We start from the raw sequence: 25442 nt of genomic DNA on the forward strand, positions 1-25442 counted from the left end.
CCTGTTCTTCTACCCTGCTTAATATCTCTTTATAGTACTTATCACCATCTGGCATTGTAGATATAATGTACATATGTGTATATATACACAAAAACATATAACATTTGTATGTATTTATTCCATGAGGACAGGGATTTGGTATGTTTTGTTCACTATAGAACACAACCTCCAGAACAGTGCCTGGCACACAGTTGGCATTCAATAAATATTTGTTGAATTAATATTGATGAAGTAGACAAAGAGAGGAGCAAACAATGGTTCCAGGATTTGGGGCCTGAATAATGGTGCCACTTACTGAGGTAATATTGAGGGGTTTTTAAAATGAGGATTAGGATCCCCTCCTCCAAACCTCCTGCCCTGAATTGCTTTGCGTATTGCAGATTGAGAGAAGTCCTTTCTCCCTCTTTGGCCAATGGAAGCCTGTGACAAGTCCAGACTCCTAGGGGTCTGAGCTCTCTTTTTCTTCCTATGGAGAGAGAGGGAAAAACTAGAGATAAACCAAACTGACTCTCAGTTCCTGAGACTGATGTGACATCGGCTTGATCTAAACCCCAAAGCTGATGTTTTATTTGTTGTTGACTCTGTGTATGGTTTTGGACAAACAATTGGCCTCCCAGTTTAAGAGACAATCTCACAAAATGCTTTTTTTAAACCAAAAAGAAAGAAATGAAAAAAAAAAAAAAAGAGCTACCATGTTCCTCATTCCTGCAGGTGCCCAACCAGGTTGACTTGTTGGAGTACATTTTCTGCATTCTTAATAGATAGCTAGCAGGAAACGCCTTGTACAGTCCCAGCTAGAGGGGCGGAAAGTAACAAGGAGGTGGGGGTACAAATCCTCAGCTCCTGCTTCCGCAAGCACTAACCTGCTCTGAAGTGAGCCAGGCAGCTCTGGCCATCTTTTCCCAGCCACAGAATCAGGTGATGGTCCAGAATTAAGAGGTAAGAGAATCTGGGGATTTTTTTGGGGGGAGAAGCAAAGAAACTTAACTGGGAAGAAATGGGGGTAGTCATCAAATACTTTGCTCAATGAGATACAATCTGGTCCCCTTGGGGATTTCGTTCCAAGTGATTGGTTTGACAAACTAACCCCTCTGACTTCCCACCCTACCCCAGACTGCTAGGTACCATTTTGGAGAAGTGCGGTAAGTGCGTCCATGCAGGCAGATTGTGGTAGAGTTCTGGCCAAAATGCTGGTTTGGGATTCTGTGCTCAAATATTTCTTTCTTTCTTTCTTTCTTTCTTTCTTTCTTTCTTTCTTTCTTTCTTTCTTTCTTTCTTTCTTTCTTTCTTTCTTTCTTTCTTTCTTTTTCTTTCTTTCTTCTTTCTTTCTTTCATTTTTTGTTCTTTCTTTTTTTTTTTTCAGAAGTGTGGGCAATATTTGAGGGAGCACTTTCTGTCTTTGTATCTTGTGAGATGGGGAAGTTGCAAACTGCCTGTTGTTTAGTAATTATGCCGTTCTGGCGGTACCACTGGTAAAACTTGGCCTTGGGGTTTTGTCTACTACGAGAGGCTTTTGCTATAAGCCAGGCACTGATATGGAAACATCTTCTCTGGGAGACAGCCACCCTTTCTTTAGCCTCACTGACATCCCCTTCTATCCAGCTTTGCAGCATCTCTTTCTCCTAGGCGAGACACACCCCAGCAATTAATTCATGAATGAAGAGACCTCTTATGGAGGGCTCATTTGAGGATGAAGCTCCTCATGTTTCTCCAGAGGTAGAGTGAGATGCAGTTCTTCATAGGACTAAGCCAATGACAGTTCTCAGAATTTTAATATTCCTCAAATACAGTTTCTCTCCACTTTGGTCCAAGTGCAGCCCAGGGAGTTGCTTGTGAGCCGATCCAGAGAAGTGGCCTATGGCTTTCCTTTTGATTGTGTGCGGTGTGGTTGGGGAGGAAAAGAAGGGCATAGGTGGTACTTATTCAGTGAATACTGAATTTATTATTCAGGATGCCCAATTGCCCACGGACTGAGCTCTCCAAGGTGAAGAGGCTGAAACACCACCTCTGACTTTCTCCATCTCTAATATTTCCTGACTGTAGCCAGTTGGCCTGGGGCATCTGTGGATTCTACCCAAGGACACTAGGCACATGCTTCAGGGCCCTAATGTCCTCAGGGTCCTACCAGCTCCTTCCCTTGTGGCTTCAAGGGGAGTTAGCAAAGAGAGATTGCAAGCTGTGTCAAGCCTGAACCTTGAGCAGTGGCCACTGGAAATTCTGAGAATGAGAGGGTGAGTCCTCCAAAGTTGTTCACTGGCCCTTCCAGCAGCAGACAGAGGCTTCAAGGAGAAGCCCTGAGGGAGCAGACAGAGTTGGGAGTTGCTGCCTGCGTTATCTGAAGGAAACCAGATGGCTGGTTTAGGGTTCTGGCTTGAGGCCCCCTAGGGATTAGGAGATAGATGGAGAGACTGAGGCCCATAGAGGAGAAGGGACTATTAGACCCAATGGGTAGTCAATAAGGGATGGTAAAGGTAGGACAGAAGTTAACGCCAGAAAGACCTAGGTTGAAATCCCAGCTCTGCCACTCCCCAGTTGTGTAGCCTAGGCAGTCTATTTCACCTTCTTTAAGACCCAAATTGCTCATCTGTAAAATGGGGATAACAATACCTAATTTGAGGATTATGAAGATTGGAGAAGATAGCTGTGTAGTTTCTGGCACACAGTAGGTGTTCTGTAAACTGCAGCTTTAAAAAAGTACTGCCTCCATGCTTCTCATTGCTTTATAATTCATAACACCTTGGTTTTTATTTCTGTCCCTTCAAGTATCAGAATAGATCATGAGCTTTTTCTCTAAATAAAGGAATAATTTACCTACAGTGAAATGCATAGGTCTTACGTGTAAAATTTGATGAGTTTTAACAAATTTATCCATTCATGTAGTAACCATCTCCCTCATCAAGATGTAGAACCTTTCCAACACCCCTGAGGGCTCCCTCATGCCCTTTCCTAGTCAATCTCTCAATCTCTACCCTACAGGCAACCACAGTTCTGAATTTCATCACCGCAGATTATTTGTGCTTGTTTCATGTATGTGAAATTGTACAATATGTGGCCTTTAGTGTCTGGATTCTTTCACTCAACATGTTTTTGAGATTCATACATGCTGTTGTGTAGATTGGTAGTTTGTTTGTTTGTTCTTTTGCTGAGTAACATTCCATTGTATAAATATGTCACAGCTAATTTATTTATTCTCCTGGTGATAAACATGTGGGTACTTTCCATTTTTGGTTACTATGAAGAAAGCTGCTGTGAACATTCAAGTACATGTCTTTGTGTGGACATAGTTTTTATTTCTCTTGGCTATGTGTACCTAGAAGTGAGATTGCTGGGTCACAAGATAAGAATATGTTTAACTTTATAAGAAATTACCAGTTTTTCAAAGCATTTGTTCACATGTTTTTGGAAAGTAAGGGTGCAATGGATTCGTTTTTGAGCTAGTACCTGGTTACGCTTAGCATGACTGTCAACCAGAGGAAACATTGGTTACTTAACACCTACATTATGCTAGGTGCTAGGAATAAAGAAATGAATATGAAATGCTGTTCTCAAGGATCTCATAAACTAGAGAGAAAGATAGTCTATTAAACTCTAGTCATTTTCATTAAATTGACAAGAATGAATAGGTCAAACCCATCTTTAGCCAGAGCACATGGCAAGTCAGATTCGGTGATCAAAGGTAAAGAAGCATCCTGACAGGCTACTTCCCTAGTAAAGGAAGGCCACAGCATGTCTTGAGGGCCCACGGTGTGCCAGGACCTGGTCTGAATGCAAATAGCCAGCCTCTGCCCACAAGGAACTCTCAAGGTGGGATATGATGATACCAATGATGGAACCCAAGTTTAGGGCAGTTCAATACACAGCTATTGAGCATCTACTCTATTCCAGGCACTGTTCTAGATACAAAAGATGTGCTGGGGAACAGAGCTGACAATCTTACAATCTTTCAGGAGGTTTCCACCAATGGTGACAACATTGGTATAAAAATGTTTTTTTGTACATCTGCATTTTGTTCAGAATATATCTGTTGGAGTCCTTAGAGATGGTGTTGTTTGTAATTGCTAGTTTCTAAGATGGGATGCGGGTAGGTGTAGGACACAGTCTTACATAGATTAAGGCGTCAGGGGAGTAGGAGAATTTGATGTGTTTACTCCTCTGCGTGCGAGTGGTCAAGATGGAAAGCAATGCCTACTATTGAAATTGTCAAGCACCGACTGGATTGCCTGGTCAAGCTCTCCATGGGAGCCCATGGTAGTTCTGGGCCAACCTTGGCTCATTCGTTTAGGAGAAAGGCACTTCCCCAGGAGGCAAGTTACTCTGCTATTTGGCCTCAATGTCCTCCCACCTCCCCATTTCCTGATGCTCTCTCTAGTCAGGTTGCCTGATCATTCTCATTTGTAAGAGAAGGCCCCTTCTCAGCACTTCATGGAGATTTGTCATGTTGTCCCTTGAAGACTGATTAGACAAGGCTTCTCAACAGCATCGTCATTGACCTTTAGGAGCTATGTGGCTCCCTGGGGCCCCAGTGAGCACGTGTACCTGGTGGGAGCAAATTGCTTGCCCCCAAGGACACTGCTCACCCAAACCACAGCCAAGCCACTTGGTAAATAGTGCCAGTGACATTTTGCCTTTGGTCCACAGCTGTCACCTGTGTCATTCACTCACAATGGAAGAAATGAAGAAGACTGCCATCCGGCTGCCCAAAGGCAAACAGAAGCCTATAAAGACGGAATGGAATTCCCGGTGTGTCCTTTTCACCTACTTCCAAGGGGACATCAGCAGCGTAGTGGATGAACACTTCTCCAGAGCTCTGAGCAATATCAAGAGCCCCCAGGAATTGACCCCCTCGAGTCAGAGTGAAGGTGTGATGCTGAAAAACGGTGAGCATGTGGGGAGGGAGGGAGCTGGGATTCCCTATCAAGGCTGCCACGGATACACCAGTTCTTTGATGTACTTGACACACTTGGACACTTATATGTTTGCTAAAGGCAAGTTGCTCTGACTAGTGAGAAGCCACACCCCTTCTTAGAAGTTTAATGTCAAAATGGGGCTGCCATCTACTGCTCCAACCTTACCTCCCCAGCACTGTCCTCCAGAAACTGGCTTCCTTCTGTCCGTCATGTTCGCTTTGATTTCTTCCTGGCCTTTGCACAAACTGTTCCTTGTCTGCAAATCTCTTCCCTCCCTTCTCCTAATTAACCCACATTCATCCCAAGATCACTTCTTTAGGGCAGCTTTCCCTGACCACCCACACCCCCAAGCATTCAAATATCCTATTACAGATTCTCCTACCGTTCTTTAACTCTCCTTCACAGCCCTTGTCACAGTTGCAGTTTTTACACTTGTATAATTATTTGACTATTGCATACTCCTCCATTAAATGAAAGTTCTGTGAGGGCAAGGACCATTGCTGATTTTGCTTAATATTGTATTTCTAGCATCTAGAAACAGTGACTGTGACATAGGGGACAACCAACAAGGATTTGTTGAATGAGTAAATGAACATACAAATATGCAAATTTGTGAGCACTGTATCTAGGTACAAAGAACCTTGAAATTTCCATAAAAGACTAAAACATAAATTAGAATCTTGCTGAATAAGCCATTAGAGCAGAAGTATGTTATGATAGTTTTTAAATGTTGATAATATTTACATTTTATATAATTTATTTCCATAAATGGAAAGTTCCCAGTTGTAGAGAGGTGGTTTTGAAAAGTTTTAAAATCAAAGCTGGCTGGGTGTGATGGTTCACACCTGTAATTCCAGCACTTTGAGAGGCCAAGGCAAGAGGATCACTTGAGGTCAGGAGTTTGAGACCAACCTGGCCAACATAGTGAGACCCTGTGTCTACAAAAAAATTTAAAGAAATTATTCAGGTGTGGTGGCTCATACCTATATCTCTGGCTACTAAGGAGGGTGATGCAGAAGGATCACTTGAGCCTGGGAGGTTGAGGCTGCAGTGGGCCATGATTGCACCACTGTACTCCAGCCTGAGTGGCAAAGCAAGACCCTGTCTCAAAAGAAAAAAAAAAAGTAAAGCTACTGGAAAAAGAAAAAAAGAAGTTTAATGTAAAAATGGGTGCTGTTTAATCAAATCAGTTCACCTATTTTATTATTTCCTCAATCATGTTAAATGCTGGGTTTACTGCTCAGCACACAATGAAACTCCACAACTATTTACTGTAATCATTATCAGTATTTTTCTTCATCTTCTGTTTTTTAGAGACAGGGTCTCACTCTGTTGCTCAGGCTGGAATGTGGTGGCGCGATCATAACTCACTGCAGCCACGAATTCCTGGGCTCATGAAATTTTCCCGCCTTAGCCTCGCAAGTAGCTAGAATTACAGGTATGCGCCACCACACCCAGCTAATTTAATTTTTTTTTTTTTTTGTAGAGACAGGATCTCGCTATGTTGCCCAGGCAGGTCTTAGATTCCTGACCTCGAGCGATCCTCCCACTTCAGCCTTCCAAAGTGCTGGTATTACAGGTGTGAACCACCACACCCAGCTAGTATTATTATCACTATTATTATTACTATAGGCCTGATGGGGCAGGAACACCAAAGCATCTATGAAAAGAAAACGCATGTCCCATGTAGGTGCTCCCAGCCTCTTCTCAACTAATAGTGCATGGTTTGGTGAGCAAGGGTAGGGGCCAGAGGGAAGTAGATGAATAGTCTTGCCACATCCCTTTCCCACCCTTCACAGGGCCAGGTGTGTCTATTTGCTAATTGTTAAGAAATAAACAGTCGTACATCTCAAAACAGTTACTTCAAGATAACTAAGTCAAAATGTGCACATCAAAATATCCAGGTTTGAAGGAAGCCTTAAACATCACACTAGCAGGGGCTGTAGTATGACTTTCACGGACCCTGGACACTTTTGTCTTCATGGACCTCCTTCCTCCACAAAAACATTAAAAGTTACATTTTATGACTGCATTGGTATAAAGATGAATATAATCCAAGCTGAGTTCATGTTTTAAATATATTCAGTATCACTGTCATATTCATTTTTTCTTCTGATTTTAAAACATTTTTGTGGGCCCCTAAAACTATTAATGGGTCCTAGGCACTGTGCCTCCTGTGCCTAATGGAGAAGTCACCCTCGCCAGCTGGATGTCACTCAATATGGCTCCCTTTACCTTTTTGGAAAGTGAGCAAATATATCAGGGTCTGGTGGATTTCAAGAGCTCTTTATTGGTGTTGGTGAGTGCACATGTTGAACGACTTGCTCCCACTGGAAGACGTACGTACCTCCAAGTAGGGGCTTTTGTGTAAAGTGGACAAGTGGGGCCTCTGCCTCCAGGCAAAGAGCTCCCCTGTTTCCAGATGCCATCATTCTGGCTTTGCTTTTTGGGACTGGAGAGGGAGTTGATGTGTATCTGATGTATTCACCTTTGCAGAATTTACTTCTCTCTTAGAATTTACTTTTGCAGTCAATCAATGTGGTTTTCTCAGAGAATCTTGTGGGTTAAATAAATATGTGGAAGGGCATGGGGTAGCAGCAGATACTAAAGGAAATGATGTAGAGCTTGCTGTTAAAATGGGCAGGAGGGGGTGGGTGGGGAGTGGGGAGGTGATGTCTAAGAGTGTGCTGAATAATCACAACAGAAGCAGGAATGACCATGGTCTTGAATCATTTGGGGGATTGACATGTGGTAAGAGCTGAGAAATGTGGTGTGTGGGATTCAGAAGATCTAACTGACTCCTTGGAAGTGTCAAAATCTCGGGCAGTTAATACACAGACAAGTATACTGACTTCGGCTATTTGACTCTGATTTATTTCTGAACACATTGGCTTGGATTCATTATAATCATTCCCTTGTAAGCATCATCAAGCCATGGTCTCACTTTTTCTATTCTACTTGCCTGGTAAAACCCAAGCTGGGATAAAACCAACTCTTGGCCTATTGCCCCATTTCTCTGCTTCATTTTGCAGCAAAACTCAAAATTGGTATTTATGTGTACTCTGTCCTTTCCTCTCATGCTCTCTAAACTCCATTCCACTCATGCTTTCAACCTCATCACTCCTTGAAATCGCTCTTATCAAGGTTACCCAGTGACCTCCACTTTCCAAATCCAATGGTCCCTATCTGTCCTCATCTGATTTGACCTATCATAACATTTGCTGCAGAAGATTGCTCTCTCCTCGTGAAATACCTACTTCGCTTGCAGTCAGCCCATAACATTATGCTTTCTTGGTTTTCCTCCTGCCTCCCTGGTTACTATTTCTTCTCAGTCTCCTTTGCTATATGTCCTTCTCTCTCCAACTTCTAAACATTTCAGGGCCCCAGTACTCAGGTCCCAGACAACTCCTTTCTCTGTCTACACTTACTGTCTTGGTCTTAAATGCCATCTATATGTTGAGCAATTCCAAATGCATATCTGCAAACCAGAATGGATTTCAGACGTGCCTGTCTAACTGCCTACTTGATCTTCACTTAACATGCCTAATAGGAAACTCAAACAAAATAGCTCCCAAACTGAATAAACTCTTAATTTCCCCCTCAACCTGCTCTGCCCACAGTCTTTCCCATCTCAATAAATGGGAGCTGCACCCTTCCAATTCCTTGAAGTCATGCTTAACACCTCTCTGTCTCACACCCCACATCCAATCCTTTTGGAAATTGTGTAGGTTCTATCTTCAAAATATCCAAGATCTGACCGCATCTTCTCACCTCCGTTGTCACCTGGGTCCTAGAAGCTATCATCACCCCCCGCTGAATTGCTGCAGTCACCTCCTAATTGGTCTCATTGCTTCTTCCCTTCCTCTCCTTCAGTCTATTCTTAGGAGGGCAGTCAGAATGGTAGCATTAAAATGAAAGTCACACACTAGCACTCTTTTGTTTGAAACCCTCTGACAGCTTCCCATGTCACTTGGAATCATATCCAAAGTCTATAATGGGGCCCTACCTCATCTGGGCCCCCGTTGTCTTACTGATCTCATATCTTACCACTTTCTGCCTCACCCGCTCCAGTCTAGGCTCCTTGGTATTCATAAACTATGCCAAGGACAATCCTGCCTCAGGCCTGCCCTTTGCACATGGTCTCTCCTATCCCTGGAATGCTCTTTCCCCAGATACCTGCATGGCGTCACCTTTCTCCATTCAAGTCTCCACCTGGATGTCACCACTTCAAACAGTCCTTGTCTGAGCAACCTATTTAAAAAATGAAAGCCCCCACCCTCTCACGTCTGTCTTCTTACCCTGCTTCATTTTTCTTCTTAGCATTTGTCACCACCGGGCACATTATATGTTGTATTTCTTTCTAGACTCCTCTCTCCCCTTACCCTCTGAGCTCCGTGGCAGTAGGGACTCAATCTGTTAACTGCTGCTTTCTAAGTACCTACCACAATGCCTGACACATGGAGGCACTCAATACATACGGCTTGAACGAATGAAATTATGATTTTGATCACAAGGTGTTGACCCTACAGATGGGGGTCACCGTAGAGAGGGAGTACGGTGTGGTGTACAGCTTTAGAACCACTCAGCATGGGGCCAAGCCAGCTCCATCACTTACTAACAGTGTGATCTCCAGACATATCACTTCTCCTCTCTGTGCCTCAGTTTCCTCATCTCTAAAATGGAATAATATTGAATTATAGGACTGTGCTTGTGAGGAGTCAATGAGATAATGCATGTCAAGTGGCACATAGTAAGTGCAATGTAGTCCAAGCTTGAGTTGAGTTTTTGAACAGCTAAGATAGATGTGAGGACCTGTGTTCACAACACCAGGTTCACAGAGCAGCAGGCATCTCCCATAAGCCTCCAGGTTTTCAGGGGGTTCTGTTTCATGGCTGCCATAGAGTTTCCTGTGCCTTCTGATTTCACCTCGACCTTCTGTGAAACCCCTGCCTGCTGAGGGAAGTTGGGCATGGCCCTGTTCCTTGCCCAAGCCAGCCTTCACAGGCCAGATAGAGAGGTGGCTTGGTTCTCCATCTTCCTTCTTGGTTGTTGCATTTTCCCTATAAGAACCCCACAAATCCTTTGACTGTGAAGATGTTGTCTCCCTCACAGAGTGTGGTGCGGGCTAGGCAAATATTTGTCCGCTGATTGAGCAAATGAAGGAAAAACTGCCTCCCTCAAAGCCTCTCTTATCACCACTAGGAGTCAAGTTTCTCATAAGCTCTGCTGCCTCAGGGGAGGGCCCCATGAAAGGCTTCCAGTCCCACAGAGGTTCTCACTGGAGGTGTTATATGACATACATATGGCTTTGAAAATGGTGGGAAATCTTTCAAGTGGCCTTTCATTACTGACTGTTAGTATCCTCTCAAACCCTACAGACCAGCACCAGGCCGTCCAGCCCAGCTAGGCCATTCCAAGGAGAACAGGCTCCCATTCATGGGCTCCCATGGCCGACTCGCCCACATTCTAAGGGCTCTCTGTTGAGCCAAATATGCAAGTCCCAAACACAGAGACCCGTGTGGCTAGGAAATGCCGTCAAATTTCCTGGCTTCTCTTCCCCAATCAGTGTTGTGTTTTTATTTACTTATGTATAATTTATACTGGCTGTACTTCAGAAAAGAAAATACAAGTTGAAGGTATCTTTGAATTATCTCCCTTTTAAAAGGACATTGGGAATTTTAGAATCAGTAACTAGAGAAGCTTCAGTAACTATAGTTTGTAGGGGGCATGGTCCTGGTACGTATGCCACCCTGTGTTCTTCTTGTCCTGTCCCCAGCCCCAGTCCTGAGGCCGGCCTCAGGCCTGGCAACATTGCTCTAGGGCTGCTGAGAGAAGGTGAGAGGGTATATACGTGGGCCTTTAGAGGTCTCAAAGGATCCAGCCTCCTTCTCTCTCCCCTCCCATCTGCCATAATCAGTAAGGGTAGGGAAGAAATGCTGGCTTTTTTTAAAAAAAAAAAGTGTAAATATCTATGTGAGATATAGTCATGCTAGTTGTTTATGGCCCTTGTAAATACTGACAGTTTCCTGTCTTCTTTTCCCGTAAGGAAGAGGAATCTATCTGCACAAACATATATGGAGCTTCCAGCGAATACCAGACACCACACTAAAATTAGTGCATTTTACTTCAGTCCACGAAATCCACTGTGATTTATAAAGTTCAAAGACAGGCAAATCTAACCTATGGTGTCAGAAGACAGGATATGGTTACGTTTTGGGGGTGTTGTGACTGAGAGGGGTACGGTGTGCTTCTGGGGTGGTGATCAGGTTCTGTTACTCGAGCTGGGTGCTCATTACCCAGTTTATGAAAATTCCCCCAGCTGCACACTTCCATTTGTGCGTTTTTCTGCATGTTGGTTGTGCTTCACAAAACTATTTTGCAATGGATATTATTATCCTTATTTTACAGAGCAGGAAACTGCAGCCCAGAGAAGGTAAGTGCCTAGAGATGGGTCACACAGCCAGTGAGTGATAAAGATTGAAACCCAAGTCCATCGATCTCCAGAGCCAGTCTCTTGAATACCCCATTGTCTTGCCTTTGTACACTCTGACAATGCCCCAGCAAGAGGATTTAATACCTATAAGGACTATCGCTAATAATGTGTATAATGGCTAACACTTTTTGAACACTTTCTGTGTGCCAGGCCCTTTGCTAGGGTCTGTCACGTGGATTATCTCACTGAATCTTCACACCAACTCTACTGGTTAACTCTATGTCCATTTTCCTGATGAGGAAACTGAGGCTCAGACAGTCAAGTGACTTGCCCAAGATCTCTCAGCTAATATGGGGAGTCTATAGTATTTGCCGGCAGATGGAATTGATTTCGGATCTTAGCCACTCAGCATTTCGAATACTAGCTCATATTCTGTGTTTGATCTCTGTTTTCAGTTGGGAAAAGGAATCTGGATATTCATCCAAAGACTAGGTACCCCAGGGAGGCAGCTGTGAAAGAGGGGAAGGAACTGAGAGGCCCCCCTGGTGCCCTGGAACAGCACAATCTCCTCTAAGCTCTCCCTCCATCCCCAGTGATATTTTGACCTCAGCTAATGCAAACAATATGCTTTTTGTACTTGGGGGTGAATGGATGAAGTGCAAGTGCCACCAGCAAAGAGGGCAGAGAGGGAAAGTCAACGCGTGCAGATCATGCAGGCCAAGGTTGGACTTTCACAGTGCAAAGTGTGCATGTGTTCAGAGGGTTCTTGATTTCAACTTCATCATAAAATGAGATTTGTAGGCCAGGCATGGTGGCTCATTCCTGTAATCGCAGCACTTTGGGAGGGCCAGGCATTCAAAACCAGACTGGGCAACATAGAGAGACCCTGTCTCTACAAAAATATTTAAAAATTGTCCAGGTGTGGTGGCTCACACCTGTATTTCCAGCTACTCAGGAGGCTGAGGCTGAGGCGGGAGGATTGCTTGAGCCTGGGGAAACTGAGGCTACAGTGAGCTATGATCTTGTCAGTACACTCCAGCCTGGGAGACAGTGAGACCCTGTCAAAAAAAAAAAAATCCCACAGAATTTGCATTAAAAGATGCAGAAAGAGGGAGAAGAGAAGGAAGGAAAGAAGAAAGGATAGATGGAAGGAAATCAGGCAATCATGGATTAGTCGTTCACAGCTGTGACTCGTTTTTTGGGAGCTTCACGTGTCAAGTGGTTTCTTACGTTTTTGCTTAAAACATAATTTTTACTATTTACAAACATAAAATATACTCCTTTTTGGAAATTTAGAAAACACAGATAAGCATTCAGGAAACAAAAACCACATGTACATCCATGGACATGTACTAATTTTTACAACGTGACATCATTTTGCACAGAATGGGTTGTAACCTGCTTTTTTAAAAAATTCATCAATGTCATATCCACTTCTCCATGCCATTAAATGTTCTACTACAACATCATTTTAATGGCTTAAGAGTATCATTTTATAGATGTACCAAATTTATTAAAATTTTTGGATATTTAGGTTGTTGCTAATCTTTCGCTATATTATACAAATCACTTTGAACATCCTTGTGGGTACATTTTTACATGCATCATTGACTATATCCTTAAAATAAATTGCTACAAGTGGAATGCTTGGGTCAAAGAGTACACACAAATTTTAGGGTTTTGATATTTACCGACAAATTTCTTCCTAGAAATGTTATGCCAATCTGCCAGCCCTCCAACCCAAGGAGCATGTAAAAGTGCCCACCTCACTGCATTCTTTGCAATATTGGGGAGGCATAGTTGGTAAGAGCATAAGGTTTGGAATCAGACACCTCTACCACTTGCTAGCCGTGTGTCCTTAGACAAGTCACTTTAACCATTCTGGGTCTCGATTTTCTCATCTGGGTTGCTGTGAGGATCACATGAGATCATGTATGCAGAGTGCTAAGTAAAGTGCCTGGCCCATAGTGAGTACTCAATAAACAAAAACTACTATATATTTACAAATTGTTCCTGCCCACCTCTGATGTGTTATTCCCTGGGAATGGCCACAGACTGAGCAAAGACTTCTGAAATCCCTCTTTTATAACCAGTATCTACTCCAGCCTCCAAACCAGCCCTGAAGTGCTGCTGCTGCCTCTGCTGCTGTTATGGGCCCCTTGGCTCAGTCCTTTCTGCCCCTCCCTTCTCCAGCACTAGGTGACTGTTGGCAGGGAGGGTTCTTAGGCCTCATGCATTAATGACCATCTTGCTTTTTCTCACGTTGATTGTGCTGAGTGTTGCAAACCAGTAAAGAAACCCAGAGTGGCTTTTTAAACTGAAATGATGAATAATAACAACAGCAACAGCTACCACTTATTGAGTGCCAATTGTGTACCAGGCACTGTGCTAAACCTTTTACATGGATGGTCTCATTCAATCTCATAACAGTCTCAGAGGTGGGAGGGGACTTGCTCAGTGTCACATAGCTAGGAAGTGGCAGATCTGGGATTGGATTCCAAGCCTCTCTGACTTCAAAGTCTGTGCTTTTAACCACTTTCATCCTGCTCTCTTCGATTTAGAAAGGTTCAGTGGGGAAGGGTGTGTATGTGTGTGTGTGTGCATGTTTGTGTTAGTGAGTGTGTACATGTTTGCAACGGTGCATATGTATGTGTGTTTGTGTGTAAATAAGTGTGTGCACTCATTAGAATAATACTTTTTCAGGGCCACTATGTGCTAGGCACTGTGCAAGTTCTTGGGGATATAATGGTGAACAAAAGAGAAATGATCTCAGCTCTCGCCAAGCTTACTGAACGATAAAGAAGACCAATAGTGAATGAATGAATGTAAGAATTAAGAAATAAATAAATTACAGTATTACTGCCATGAAGGAAATAAACAGGGTGCAGTCACAGAAAGTAACAGGGTCACAAACTTTAGATTGGAAGTTGAGGGAAGGCCTTTCTGAAAGGGTGACATTTAAGTTTGTATGTTGAAAAACTAATCTGGAATAGGAAGTCAGGGCCTCCATGCAAGGATAAAGTGGAGGGAAGGTACTCTGGAATGGCGGCAAACTCATAAGTGCCTGAAGATGTTTTCTAGAGTGTTCTGGGGCTCCCAAAAGTGTATATGGGTGGAAATGTGTGGCGCCTCTGGGTATGCATGGAAAGCAGGGGGAATGGCCTGCCAGTTTCACCGAAAAAGGGCAGTGCGGGAAATGGAGACCAGCTCTCTCTGGACAGGTTTTGTCTCAGGACCAACAGCATCAGGAATTCTAGAGGGATGAATGGGACTAAGAGGTAGGGTCTAGATGCCCAGGGTTGAAGTTAGTGGAGTGGAAGCCATTTGTACTCCTGCTGAAAGAAAAATCCTAGCCTGCCCCATGTATGCCTGCATCAGGGTGTTTCTTACCTGCTCTCCACTCATTCATGTGGTCAGGGGCTTGAGAAGGCAGCAAATTCTGCCCTGGGGCTCCCTCTCTCACTTCTAGAGGTAACTAATAGGGGGCACTTGGATGAAAAAAATGTCACCAGGATCACTTTTAGTAGCAGCAGCAGCCTTGAGCCAGTGCAGGTTTGTAGTTTAAGAGGTCTTTACCCATCCACAGGGTAGGTGGGAGTGGCTGCTGGAGCAGTTGGCCCAAGAGGCCTGAAAAAGAGAGGCCCACTCAAATCCAGGGTCTCCACTCCATGGGCCACTGACTTCCAAGCCTAATCTGGAATGATGTGTTTCCCCAGGCCACCCAAGGCCCGCTGTTGGATCACTGTGAATTTGGGGTTAGGACACCCTGTGCGTGCCCATAAGCTCCCATCCAAACTGTGCTCTGGGGCACCTGGTGACCATATAGGACTTTGGGCTGTGGCACACCAAACCACTTCCCTTAACATTTCAGAGAATTCTAGAAAGGAAGCAGTTAAGAGAAATATTCAAAACATTCTGGGGCTCTGCTTTCCACATTTCAAGCATTCAGCCCCTAAGTCATATGTATGAGATCTGTAAGGCCTGTTCACATGGAAACTGCCTAGTTGTCAGGGGCTACGCTTTGTTTCTAATTTGTGCTTAGGACATGCAGTACCCTCATTCAATATGAAACACAGACTGTGATTACACCAAATTAGCTTAATCACTCTCTTTGTGCACTGAATTGCTTCTGGCCTGGAGATATCAATTTTCAGAAGTAGCATTCACCCTCACCAAAACAAATCTTAATATATTGTCTTGCCTTTGGTTTCATAAGAAGGGCCAACCATCCCCCATCACTCACTGTGAATGGTGTGAGATGTTGGGGAGAATGTCTTTGCCTTGAGGGCTTGGACTTCTCTTCCTATCCTTTGTGTCACACTGAGTGACGGCACTCCAGTAACACTGGGCAGGCCTTTCAGAATTTTTTATCTTGTACACAATCCAGTCAAACCAAACATTCAAGAGCGCTAGGAGAGGTTTGTATGGGAAAGAGGACCAGTGTCCCAGACATCCTCTCCAGCCGGCTAATCTTCCTTTGTCTCCACACCCACCCTCTCTCCATTATCTTGGATAGATGATAGGCTCCAGGCTTTAAGAACTGTGTGGAAGAACTCTTTCCCTCCTCCCTTCTTGCCTGAGTGGGTGTTGAGAATGGGGAAAACATTCATCCTTGTCCTAAGCTATCCTGGACATTTGAGATCTCAGATTCAGCGGCTATCATAGGCACAATAAGAATAGTGTCTATGGGACCAAAGGACACTCCATCCCTCTTAACCAATCCACATGAACTTCACAAGAAGAAACTAAGTCACCTCTTGACCCTCAGAATTCTGCTTTTGCAAAATGGGGTCCAAGCAACTACTTCCCTCCCCATTACTTATCGTTCCAGCTCACTTCCCTTCTTGGCTAATCTGTTTTTGCTACCTTGGTTCAGTCTCTTAACATCCCTGTGCCTCATATTACTCTGGAAAATGTGGTTTTAGCTCCTAGAGTTGTGTGAGTGACCAGCACAGGTAAGTGTTAAGCCCTTTTTAAAGTTCTGTCGAGTCCCCCTATTTGGTGTATTTAAAACACCAGCTGTAAAATAAAGCTAGATGATAGCAGCAACCAAACACAAATCAAGCACATTTACTTCCAGAAAAGCATCCTTAAGGAGCTGGTTGGATCCGGGAGCAAAGGTATCTATACAGAGATGCTCATTGTAATGCTGTTAGCATAATAGAAAAAAATGGAAATAACCAAGCAGTGCACAAATATGACATTTGTTAATTACTGCCTTACCATGGACTACTTACTGTACAGCACTTTAAAAAGCTGGTGTTTGGCTCTCCCCCTTCCCTTCCTTTCCCTTCCCTTCCTTTCTTTTTCTTTTTTTCTTTCTTACCGAGTCTCACTCTGTTGCCCAGGCTGGAGTGAAGTGGAGCAATCTCGGCCTACTGCAACATCCGCCTCCTGGGCACAAGCAACTCTCCTGCCTTAGCATCCCGAGTAGCTGGGACTACAGGTGTGCACCAACACACCCAGCTAATTTTTGTATTTTTAGTAGAGATGTGGTTTCACAATATTGGCCAGGCTGGTCTCGAACTCCTGGCTTCAAGTGATCTGCCCAACTCGGCCTCCCAAGAAGCTGGGATTACAGGCATGAGCCACTGTGCCTGGCCTATTCATTTCTATAGGAGGCTTTTCATGATATTTTAATGAAGCAAAAATGGCTTGAATAACAATATATGTTGTGAAAACAATGCATACATGAATAGAAACCAATCCTAGAAACAGTACACCTACGGAGGACAATGGCTGTTTCTGGATATTATCATTAGGATGATTTTATTTTAGCTTTTCTGTATTTCCTTCAAGTTAAAAAAAATAGAGTATGTATTAAAAAAAAAACTACATCCATTTTGAAAACAATAAACACCTAACATGTCTTCTAAATCTTTCCTTCTCAGATGATAGCATGTCTCCAAATCAGTGGCGTTACTCGTCTCCATGGACAAAGCCACAACCAGAAGTACCTGTCACAAACCGTGCCGCCAACTGCAACTTGCATGTGCCTGGTCCCATGGCTGTGAATCAGTTCTCACCGTCCCTGGCTAGGAGGGCCTCTGTTCGGCCTGGGGAGCTGTGGCATTTCTCCTCCCTGGCGGGCACCAGCTCCTTAGAGCCTGGCTACTCTCATCCCTTCCCCGCTCGGCACCTGGTTCCAGAGCCCCAGCCTGATGGGAAACGTGAGCCTCTCCTAAGTCTCCTCCAGCAAGACAGATGCCTAGCCCGTCCTCAGGAATCTGCCGCCAGGGAGAATGGCAACCCTGGCCAGATAGCTGGAAGCACAGGGTTGCTCTTCAACCTGCCTCCCGGCTCAGTTCACTGTAAGGAAATGCCTACAGATACTTGGAGGGGTGCCTCTGATTGGTTGTGGTTGAGAGTGAGTTGGCATGAGATGAGGTGCCAAGACTAATTGCTGCCACTCTGGACATAGGGCTGCTGAGGGAAGGGATGTTCTGCTTAAATGTTCCATACATCTTCACTAGGCTTCATTGACATTCACAGTTTAATAGCTAAAGGGTTACATAGATAGCCAGCCAGATGGACTTGGCCCGAAGTACTCACCCTAGCCTGTCAACTTGGCCTTACCTTAGAAAAATGATGGGCTGCTGCGTAATATCGCAGGGTCCTGTGTTTACCTCATTGGGAGCAATTAAATAAGCCATTTGCAGAACAGAGCTCTGTGACGTACCTACAGGCTCAAACTGTAGCCTCTAAACAGGTTGGCAACTTGCAGTGATGTCAGGCTCCAGGCAAACAACAAGGGCAATCTATACCAACCATCTGCTCCACACATTAAAATTCAAAGCGACTGTAGGAGGCAGCCCCATTGCTGCTTGGAGACCTAACAGTGCCTGACTGTCCTTGGCTTGCTCCTGCACTCTGGGATCCTCCTGCTTGGTTTCCCTTGGGTTCCTGCTCCCTGACCACCACCCCTCCCCTGAACTAAAAACACCCTTAAGGCTTACTCACCTCTTCATTCACTCATTCACCCAGCAAATATTTAATTTGCGCCTACCAGATGCAAAATATCCATCAGAAAACAAGGCTCCCTTCTTTGTAAAAGGACGGGGAAGAATTGGCATTAATTATACTTCCACCAAAAAATCAACCTACTCTGTTGCAAGATTTGCCTTTAATATGAAACACTTATAAATATATATTTTATAGTTTCATGGAACCAAGTCTGCATCCTCTGCCATTCTGTACTCTGGACGAATTTTCTTTTGCAGCTTCCTTGTCCATACATAGTGTGGTTCTAGTGTTCCATGCCTGAAAGAAATTACTAGAAGCCATCTTTACACTGAACTAAGCATATAGTAAACAAAAGGCCTGTTCAGCATAGCCTACCTAAGTCAGGCACTGTGTTCTATTCTAATGTGGAAAACAAATTTCCCATTAAAATACCACTCTGTCATTTCCAGAATTTGATTAGGAATGTACTTAAGGAGTAAATCATAGAAGTGTCATGTTTGGGAAACCTGTGAAATTTCCTACCCCTCTACTCTTTTTCAAAAGTCCTTTCCTACTGGATTCACAGGGAAAATTAGGCCAACTGTGCTTGTATATATGCCTGTGCATACACACAGCAAAGCCCTGTTTCGACAGTAGGTTAGAACACAGATGGCTGAAATCATCACCTTCCAAACTTAGCAACTCTTTACAGTTCAAGTCCAATTCAGCAAATATTTAGTGAGCATCTACTGTAAGCAAGGCACATCATGGTGAAACTAATGCAGGCATTGTCCTATTCCTGAAATCTCAAGACACATTCACAAACAAATGGTTATCACCAAGGTCTTCATGCTCTACTCATGTTGACATGAGTTGTATTAATTGGTGACTGGAAGTCCAGGATCTGTTGAGGAAGTCAGTGACCCTTAATCAGGAACACTGCCTTGGAAGGTGGTGGACCTTTAAAACAGAAGCTTCTCAGTTTTTGTAGCATCTGATATGAGAGAATATGCTAGATATTCATAAACTTAGGGCCAGGCAATGTGGGGCCCCTGGAATGCTACTGGGCACTCTCTAACCTAGTCCTAGAAATTTCAGTTCCAATAATGTTTTCTTCTTCTTTTCTAGATAAGAAACTATATGTATCTCGTGGATCTGCCAGTACCAGCCTTCCAAATGAAAGTAGGTATCTGGGCCAGCCTTTGATGGTGTGTGTCTGTATCCTGAGAACGAACTTGAGAAATAAGGCTTCTGTCTACTACTGGAGACACTGGTAGTATAAAACCCAGAGTCTCCAGTAATGGACGGGAGCCTTATTTCTATCACTCAGTGTTTTCATAGATAGAATTTGTTTCATTTTAGCCTCAAAAAAGAGTATATGCACTTCCTATCTTGTAAAATTTTATTTTGCTATAGAAGAAACTCTCCTTAGTTTCTTTTTTCTTTTCTTTCTTTCTTTTTTTTTTAACCTGAGTTTGACTTAACTGAAGTAGCCAAGGTGACTCAGAAAAATTAAGAAATTCATGAGGATGAGGATTAGCTTGCTATGTCCCAGATGTTCAGTTTTCAGCCTAGTATTCTTTTATTTATTTCTTTTTTTTTAACCTGAGCTGGACTTAACTGAAATAGCCAAGGTGACCCAGAAAAATTAAGAAATTCATGAGGATGAGGATTAGCTTGCTGTGTCCCAGATGTTCAGTTTTCAGCCTAGTACATAGGGCCACCCCAGGACTCTGCAGTCAGTGAAAATGTCAACTGAGGCATGAGGCCAGGACTCTGAGCTCCACACTCAATTTGAAAGTGGTGTCAGTGGGAACTTACAAAAGAGGACAATCTGGGTGGAATGACAGGAGGATCTTCATGACCTGGGTTCAGGGTCAATTGCCAGCTTTATTATTTACTTGCTTCAGGAACCTGGTCACATTTCTTAACCACTTCATGCCCCAGTTGCTTCATTTTTGTCAAATAAGCATAAAATAGTGCCCACCTCATTGGGTGAGGTGTGAGGAGTAAATGAAATAATGTATACCAATGCTTAGAATAATGGCTGGCACATTACTCTAAGCGTTGGCATACATTAAACCATCAAGAATTCTTTTTGGAGGGCATCCTGTGTTCCCCAAGCTGTGCTCTGTGTGCTGTGTTTAAGAGAGGACTCAAGCTGGGTGTGGTGCCTCACACATGTAATCCCAGCACTTTGTGAGGCCAAGGCGGGAGGAACACTTGAGCCCAGGAGTTAGAGACTAGCCTGGGCAACATAGCAAGACCCTCATCTCCATAAAAAATAAAAATAGAGAGGATCCAAAGGAAGAGCCACTACCACAGCCCCTGATCTCAGGCATTTGACAGTCTGGTGTGAAGTAGGGGTGAGGGCAATCTATAGACCCCACTAGAATGTCAACCCCATGAGGACTGAGACTTTGAGAGGTATACCACTGTATCCCTAGCACCTTGCACAGTGGTATACAAATTTGTTGAATAAATGAATGAGTGAATGCTGGAAACAATAAAAGAGCATTTAACAAGGAAACAGTAAGAAAATGTAGTAATGTAGTAAAAATTATTCCAATGTAGTAAAAATTATTCTGTTTGATGCCTTCGTGTGAGAGACAAACAAAACAAAAACCAACCCTGGTGATTAATTGGCCATGCCTCCATGAGGAGATTCATTTAGAGCTGGTTCAAAAGCCTTAGCATAGCCAAGGCAGGCATCACATAAGTCCCTGCCCAAGGAAATGAGTTCTGCTGGCCTTCTAACTTATGAAAGGCAAGGATTGTGGTGTTTCCTGAGTACTTGTTAATAGTTTCTACATTTGTTTATTGTGAGTCTCAGAATTACTGATAACTTGATGCTTAAAATTGTTCATAGACTAAAACTAACAGCAACAACAACATGTATTGGGTGTTGACTATGAGCCACATACCACATACTCCATCTTGCTTAGTCCCCACCATGACCTTGTGAGGTGTATGTGAATATGTCCTAGGTGCTTTACTCAACCGATATTCAGTAAATAGTGATTGAATGAATGAATATCCCCATTTTATAGATGAAGAAACTGGATCTCAAAAAGGTGAAAGGACTTGCCTTAAATCACACAGCAGCAAGTGGCAGATGCAGTATTATCTCCTTGCTCTCACAGTGTCATAAAATTATCAGAAACAATTCCAAGTTAAATCAAGTATACAACAGTGAAAATTAGTCACTGGTGAGATTATTTTACCACACATGAGTTCACTGTCTATCTGGGACCAGGGCACTATCCTAAAATAAAGGAAGGGGGATGCAGAAGGCTCAGAAAGCAAGCAAAAGAGCAAAGAAAAATATACCTTTGGGAAAGAAGGTGGGGGATGTTCTTTCCTTGCAGAGAGTAGTTGAGGAAAGGTGGCTATGCCAACAGGCCCAAGTCTGCCTTTCTAACACTGTGGCCCTGGGCAGAGGGAGGTAACATGGAGCTGAGAGGAAGAGAAGGGACTTCCTAGGGCTCCAAGTAAAAGGACAATGGAACCCAGCAAAGCCCATGCTCTTAAGCATGACACCAGTCTCCCAATCTTGCCTGATGGTACGAACCACCTGGGGAGCTTGTTCACTGCCCAGATCCTGCTCCCCCACTTCCTGGGGGAGTAGATTTGGCATGAGACTCAGTTGCCTCTTCATGTTTTATTCTTTTTTTTTTTTTTTTTTTTTGAGATGAAGTTTTGCTCTTGTTGCCCAGGCTGGAGTGCAATGGCGCAATCTCGGCTCACTGCAACCTCCGCCTCCTGGGTTCAAGTGATTCTCCTGCCTCAGCCTCCCAAGTAGCTGGGATTACAGGCACCCGCCACAATGCCTGGCTAATTTTTTGTATTTTTAGTAGAGATGGGGTTTCCCCATGTTGATCAGGCTGGTCTTGAACTCCTGACCTCAGGTGATCAGCCCGCCTTGGCCTCCCAAAGTGCTGGGATTACAGGCGTGAGCCACTGCTCCTGGCCTCATGTTTTATTCTTTATATAATTTATATTAACCTCATTTAAAAGTGAACTACATGAACCTTTCAGTGGAAATTTAGGTTGTTCTGAAAGATTTCCTATGTGAGGCTCCAGAAAAATATTTGTCAAGGAAGGGAGGCAGAGTCTCCTCCTGCCCCTCCGATATGGCCCTAGTCCCCTCATGTGGGCTGTCATGCATCTATGAAGCAGGGGCATGTGGAGCAGAAGAGTCATCAGAGCCAAAAGGGTAGTCAGAGAGACCTTGGAGAAAGACATTCTGGAGGTTAGTCTCACAAATGTTGTTCAAAAGTTTTAGTGAATTTGATTTTATCTTTTGGTCGGTAGAAATAGACATACTGGTTATATATTGCTTCAATGGCTACAAATAATAATAACAGTTGATATTGCTAATTGCCAGATACAGGACTATAATATACATTGGAGATATAACAGTGAATAAAATTGTCTTGGTCCCTGCCCTCACAGAGTTAATAGTTTCGTGGGGAAGACATGCCCACCCCCAAAGGGAAAATACAAAATATTTGCAAGTTATGATAAGTGGAGTGAGGAAAACACATGAGGTGTTGAAATAGGGAAAAATGGGGGCCAACTTTAGATAAAGTGTTCAAAGGAGGCCTTTCTGAGGAAGTGACATGTGATCAGGGACCTGAATGAAGTGAGAGAGCCAGCTCTGGGAAGAATTAGGGCAGAGATGGAGGGAGGTGGAGGAAATTGTCCCTGCAAAAGCCCGAGATGTGTGTGAAGAATGGAAAAAAAAAAAAGACCAGGGTGACAGGAGTGGAGTAAGAAAGGAGAGAGTGTGGTACAAGAGAAGTCTGGAGAGGTAGGCAGGGGCCAGGTGGTGCAGGGGCCTTATGGGTCACATTGGGAGTTGAGATTTCATATTCTAAGCGACATTGTGAGCCATGGAAGGATTTTACGTGTGATCCAACTTGCATCTGATAAGATCACAAAAGCTGTTCTGTAGAGGACACATTGGAGAAAGGGAAGAATGAAAACAAAGAGGCAAGAAGCATGAGAGGATGATAGCCTGGATTAGGTGGCAACAGCAGAGACAGGGGTATTTGAGATCTATGTAGGAGGGTTAGCTCTTAGGACTTGGTAATGGATTAAATAGGAATGGCAAAGAAATGGGAAGAATCCAGGTTATCTCCTAGGTTTCATGTTTCAACAAATGGATAGGAGAATATAACTGTTTTGGCCATGTCAATTCTGAGGTGCCTATAAGACATCCAAGTGGATATACCTTTTAAACAGTTGTATATGTAAGTGAAGAAAGTCTGGGTAAACATTTGGGATGTATATTAGTCCTGTACATAAGTGGTATTTAAGGCCATTGGATGTGATCACCTAGTCAGAGGACGTAGACATAGAAGAGAGGAGAGCTGCAGAAAGAGGCCTGGAGGGTGTCAATATTTAGAGACTGGGGACATGAGGAACAAACGGAGGAGACTGAAAAGGTGTAGCCAGTGTGATAAGAGAAGAACCAGGGCAGTGTGGTACATAACAGAAGCTAAAAGAGGTGAATGTTTCAAAACAGAAGGAGTGATCAACTGTGTTAAAGGCTGTGGAGAGATCAAATAAGAGAAGGTCAAATAAGAAGAAATTCCTATTGGATGTGGCATCAGAGATTTTTGTAGACGTGTTAAGAGCAGTTTTCATTATGTGATGTGGACAGGAGCCAGATTGAAGTGGGCTGAAGAGTGAACCAGAGATGAGAAAGTGGAGATAGTAAATTCGAGGAGCTTCTTAGAGAAATTTAACATTGAAATGATAAAGAGAAAAAAGATGTTAGCTAAAGAGATTAATGGGGTTTGAGAAGGTCTTTTTTTAAGAGGCAAATATTAGAGCCTCTTTGCATGATAATGGGAATGATCCAATATAGGAGGATGAAGGTAACTTGAGGGGTGAAGTCATTGAGAAGACAGAAGGGACATGTAGAAGCATTGAGCTTTCATAAGAACAGGGGCTGTTCTGCCATTGAAAGTATAGAAAAGAAAGCTAATAAGGACACAGATGCAAATTGATTTTCAGGCTTGCTTGTGAGGAGACTAAAAAGTACTAATCTAATGATTTCTATTTTCTCAATCAACTGTGGAGCAAGACAGCAAGAGTGTGGGATATTTAAAGAGAGTGAGAAAGTATGAAGAAGTCTTCTTGGGCATTGGGAAAGCAAAGCCTGATAGTAGACAAACATAAGTAGGATTTCTGGGTGGTGATCTGAAGTCTGAGCTCATGAATTTCAAGTGCGAACTCTCAGTTGGGTTGTGCAATTTTCATCAGTGATGTTAGCTTAGTGTAATGTGCAGAGAAGGCAAATGGGGACGCTTATCTAGGGGTGAGGTTGTGGCAAGTGAGTATGAAGGATAGAGAATAAGGAAAAGGAGTCAAGGGTGGGCAAGACCCATTGAGAATAGGTTGAGGCTGTGGGTTTCCTACATTTTCAAAGTTTGAAAAGAAGCTGAAAAGTCTCAGTCTGGTCCTGATGAATGACATACTTTCACTTGAAAACTTTGGTTTCTCAATCCTAACAAAGTGACCCCCAAATGCAATTGTTGAGAAATCTGATAACTTACTCATTAGAAATTGAGTAAACTGCCCGTCACAAGTTGAATAAATTCTGTTGTGGCTGCAATAGAATTTACTCTGTATCCAGAGCATTTCTTGGATGCAGTTTCATGAGTTTCTGTCTTCCCTTCCTCTGAGGTTGAGGACTCTGGTATCTGACATCCCACAGGTGTTCATCTGGACCCTGGAGGAGACTTACAGCCTTCCATAGGGGCCTAACTGGCTTTCATTAACCATGTAACTTCTCCTTTAGCTCTTTCAGAGTTAGAGACACCTGGGAAATACTCACTTACACCACCAAACCACTGGGGCCACCCACATCGATACCTGCAGCATCTTTAGTCAAGTTGGAGGAGAAAGACAACACTTGGTCTAAGACACGGCAGCAAGACATCCCTGCATATTGTTCCAGATAAAAATGAAAGCTGCTCACACCCACTTGCCTCCCCAATCTGTTAAACAGCTTCGTGTCTAGTATGAGCTCAGTACTTGCCCTGTGAAAATCCCAGAAGCCCCCGCTGTCAATGTTCCCCATCCACACCCTGCTTGCTCCTGTGTAACAGCTCAGATGATGAATAATAATAAAACTGTACTTTTTTGGA

General features: G+C 43.5%; 1 protein-coding gene and 1 non-coding gene across 2 annotated transcripts; both read left to right on the top strand.

Annotated features, from left to right (window-relative positions):
* On the top strand, window positions 858–25442 carry VGLL1 (vestigial like family member 1). The gene is made up of 5 exons (NM_016267.4): window positions 858–939; window positions 4639–4877; window positions 17232–17651; window positions 19411–19464; window positions 25094–25442. The coding sequence occupies exons 2-5, from the start codon at window positions 4664–4666 to the stop codon at window positions 25180–25182; spliced, it is 777 nt and encodes a 258-aa protein (NP_057351.1). The 5' UTR covers window positions 858–939; window positions 4639–4663; the 3' UTR covers window positions 25183–25442.
* On the top strand, window positions 19521–19603 carry MIR934 (microRNA 934). Its single transcript, NR_030631.1, has one exon. It is a non-coding gene; the product is annotated as a microRNA 934 (primary transcript).

The sequence above is a fragment of the Homo sapiens genome, chromosome X, assembly GCF_000001405.40.
Source record: "Homo sapiens chromosome X, GRCh38.p14 Primary Assembly".
Classification (NCBI taxonomy): Eukaryota; Metazoa; Chordata; class Mammalia; order Primates; family Hominidae; genus Homo; species Homo sapiens.

What these genes read in the sequence shown, in the direction of transcription:
- VGLL1 (NM_016267.4), top strand. Translation starts at nt 4,664, where the DNA reads ATGGAAGAAATGAAGAAGACTGCCATCCGGCTGCCCAAAGGCAAACAG. An exon ending in GCCTCCCGGCTCAGTTCACT is followed by an intron (nt 17,652 to 19,410) that starts GTAAGGAAATGC and finishes CTTCTTTTCTAG; the next exon opens with ATAAGAAACTATATGTATCT. An exon ending in TACCAGCCTTCCAAATGAAA is followed by an intron (nt 19,465 to 25,093) that starts GTAGGTATCTGG and finishes CTTCTCCTTTAG; the next exon opens with CTCTTTCAGAGTTAGAGACA.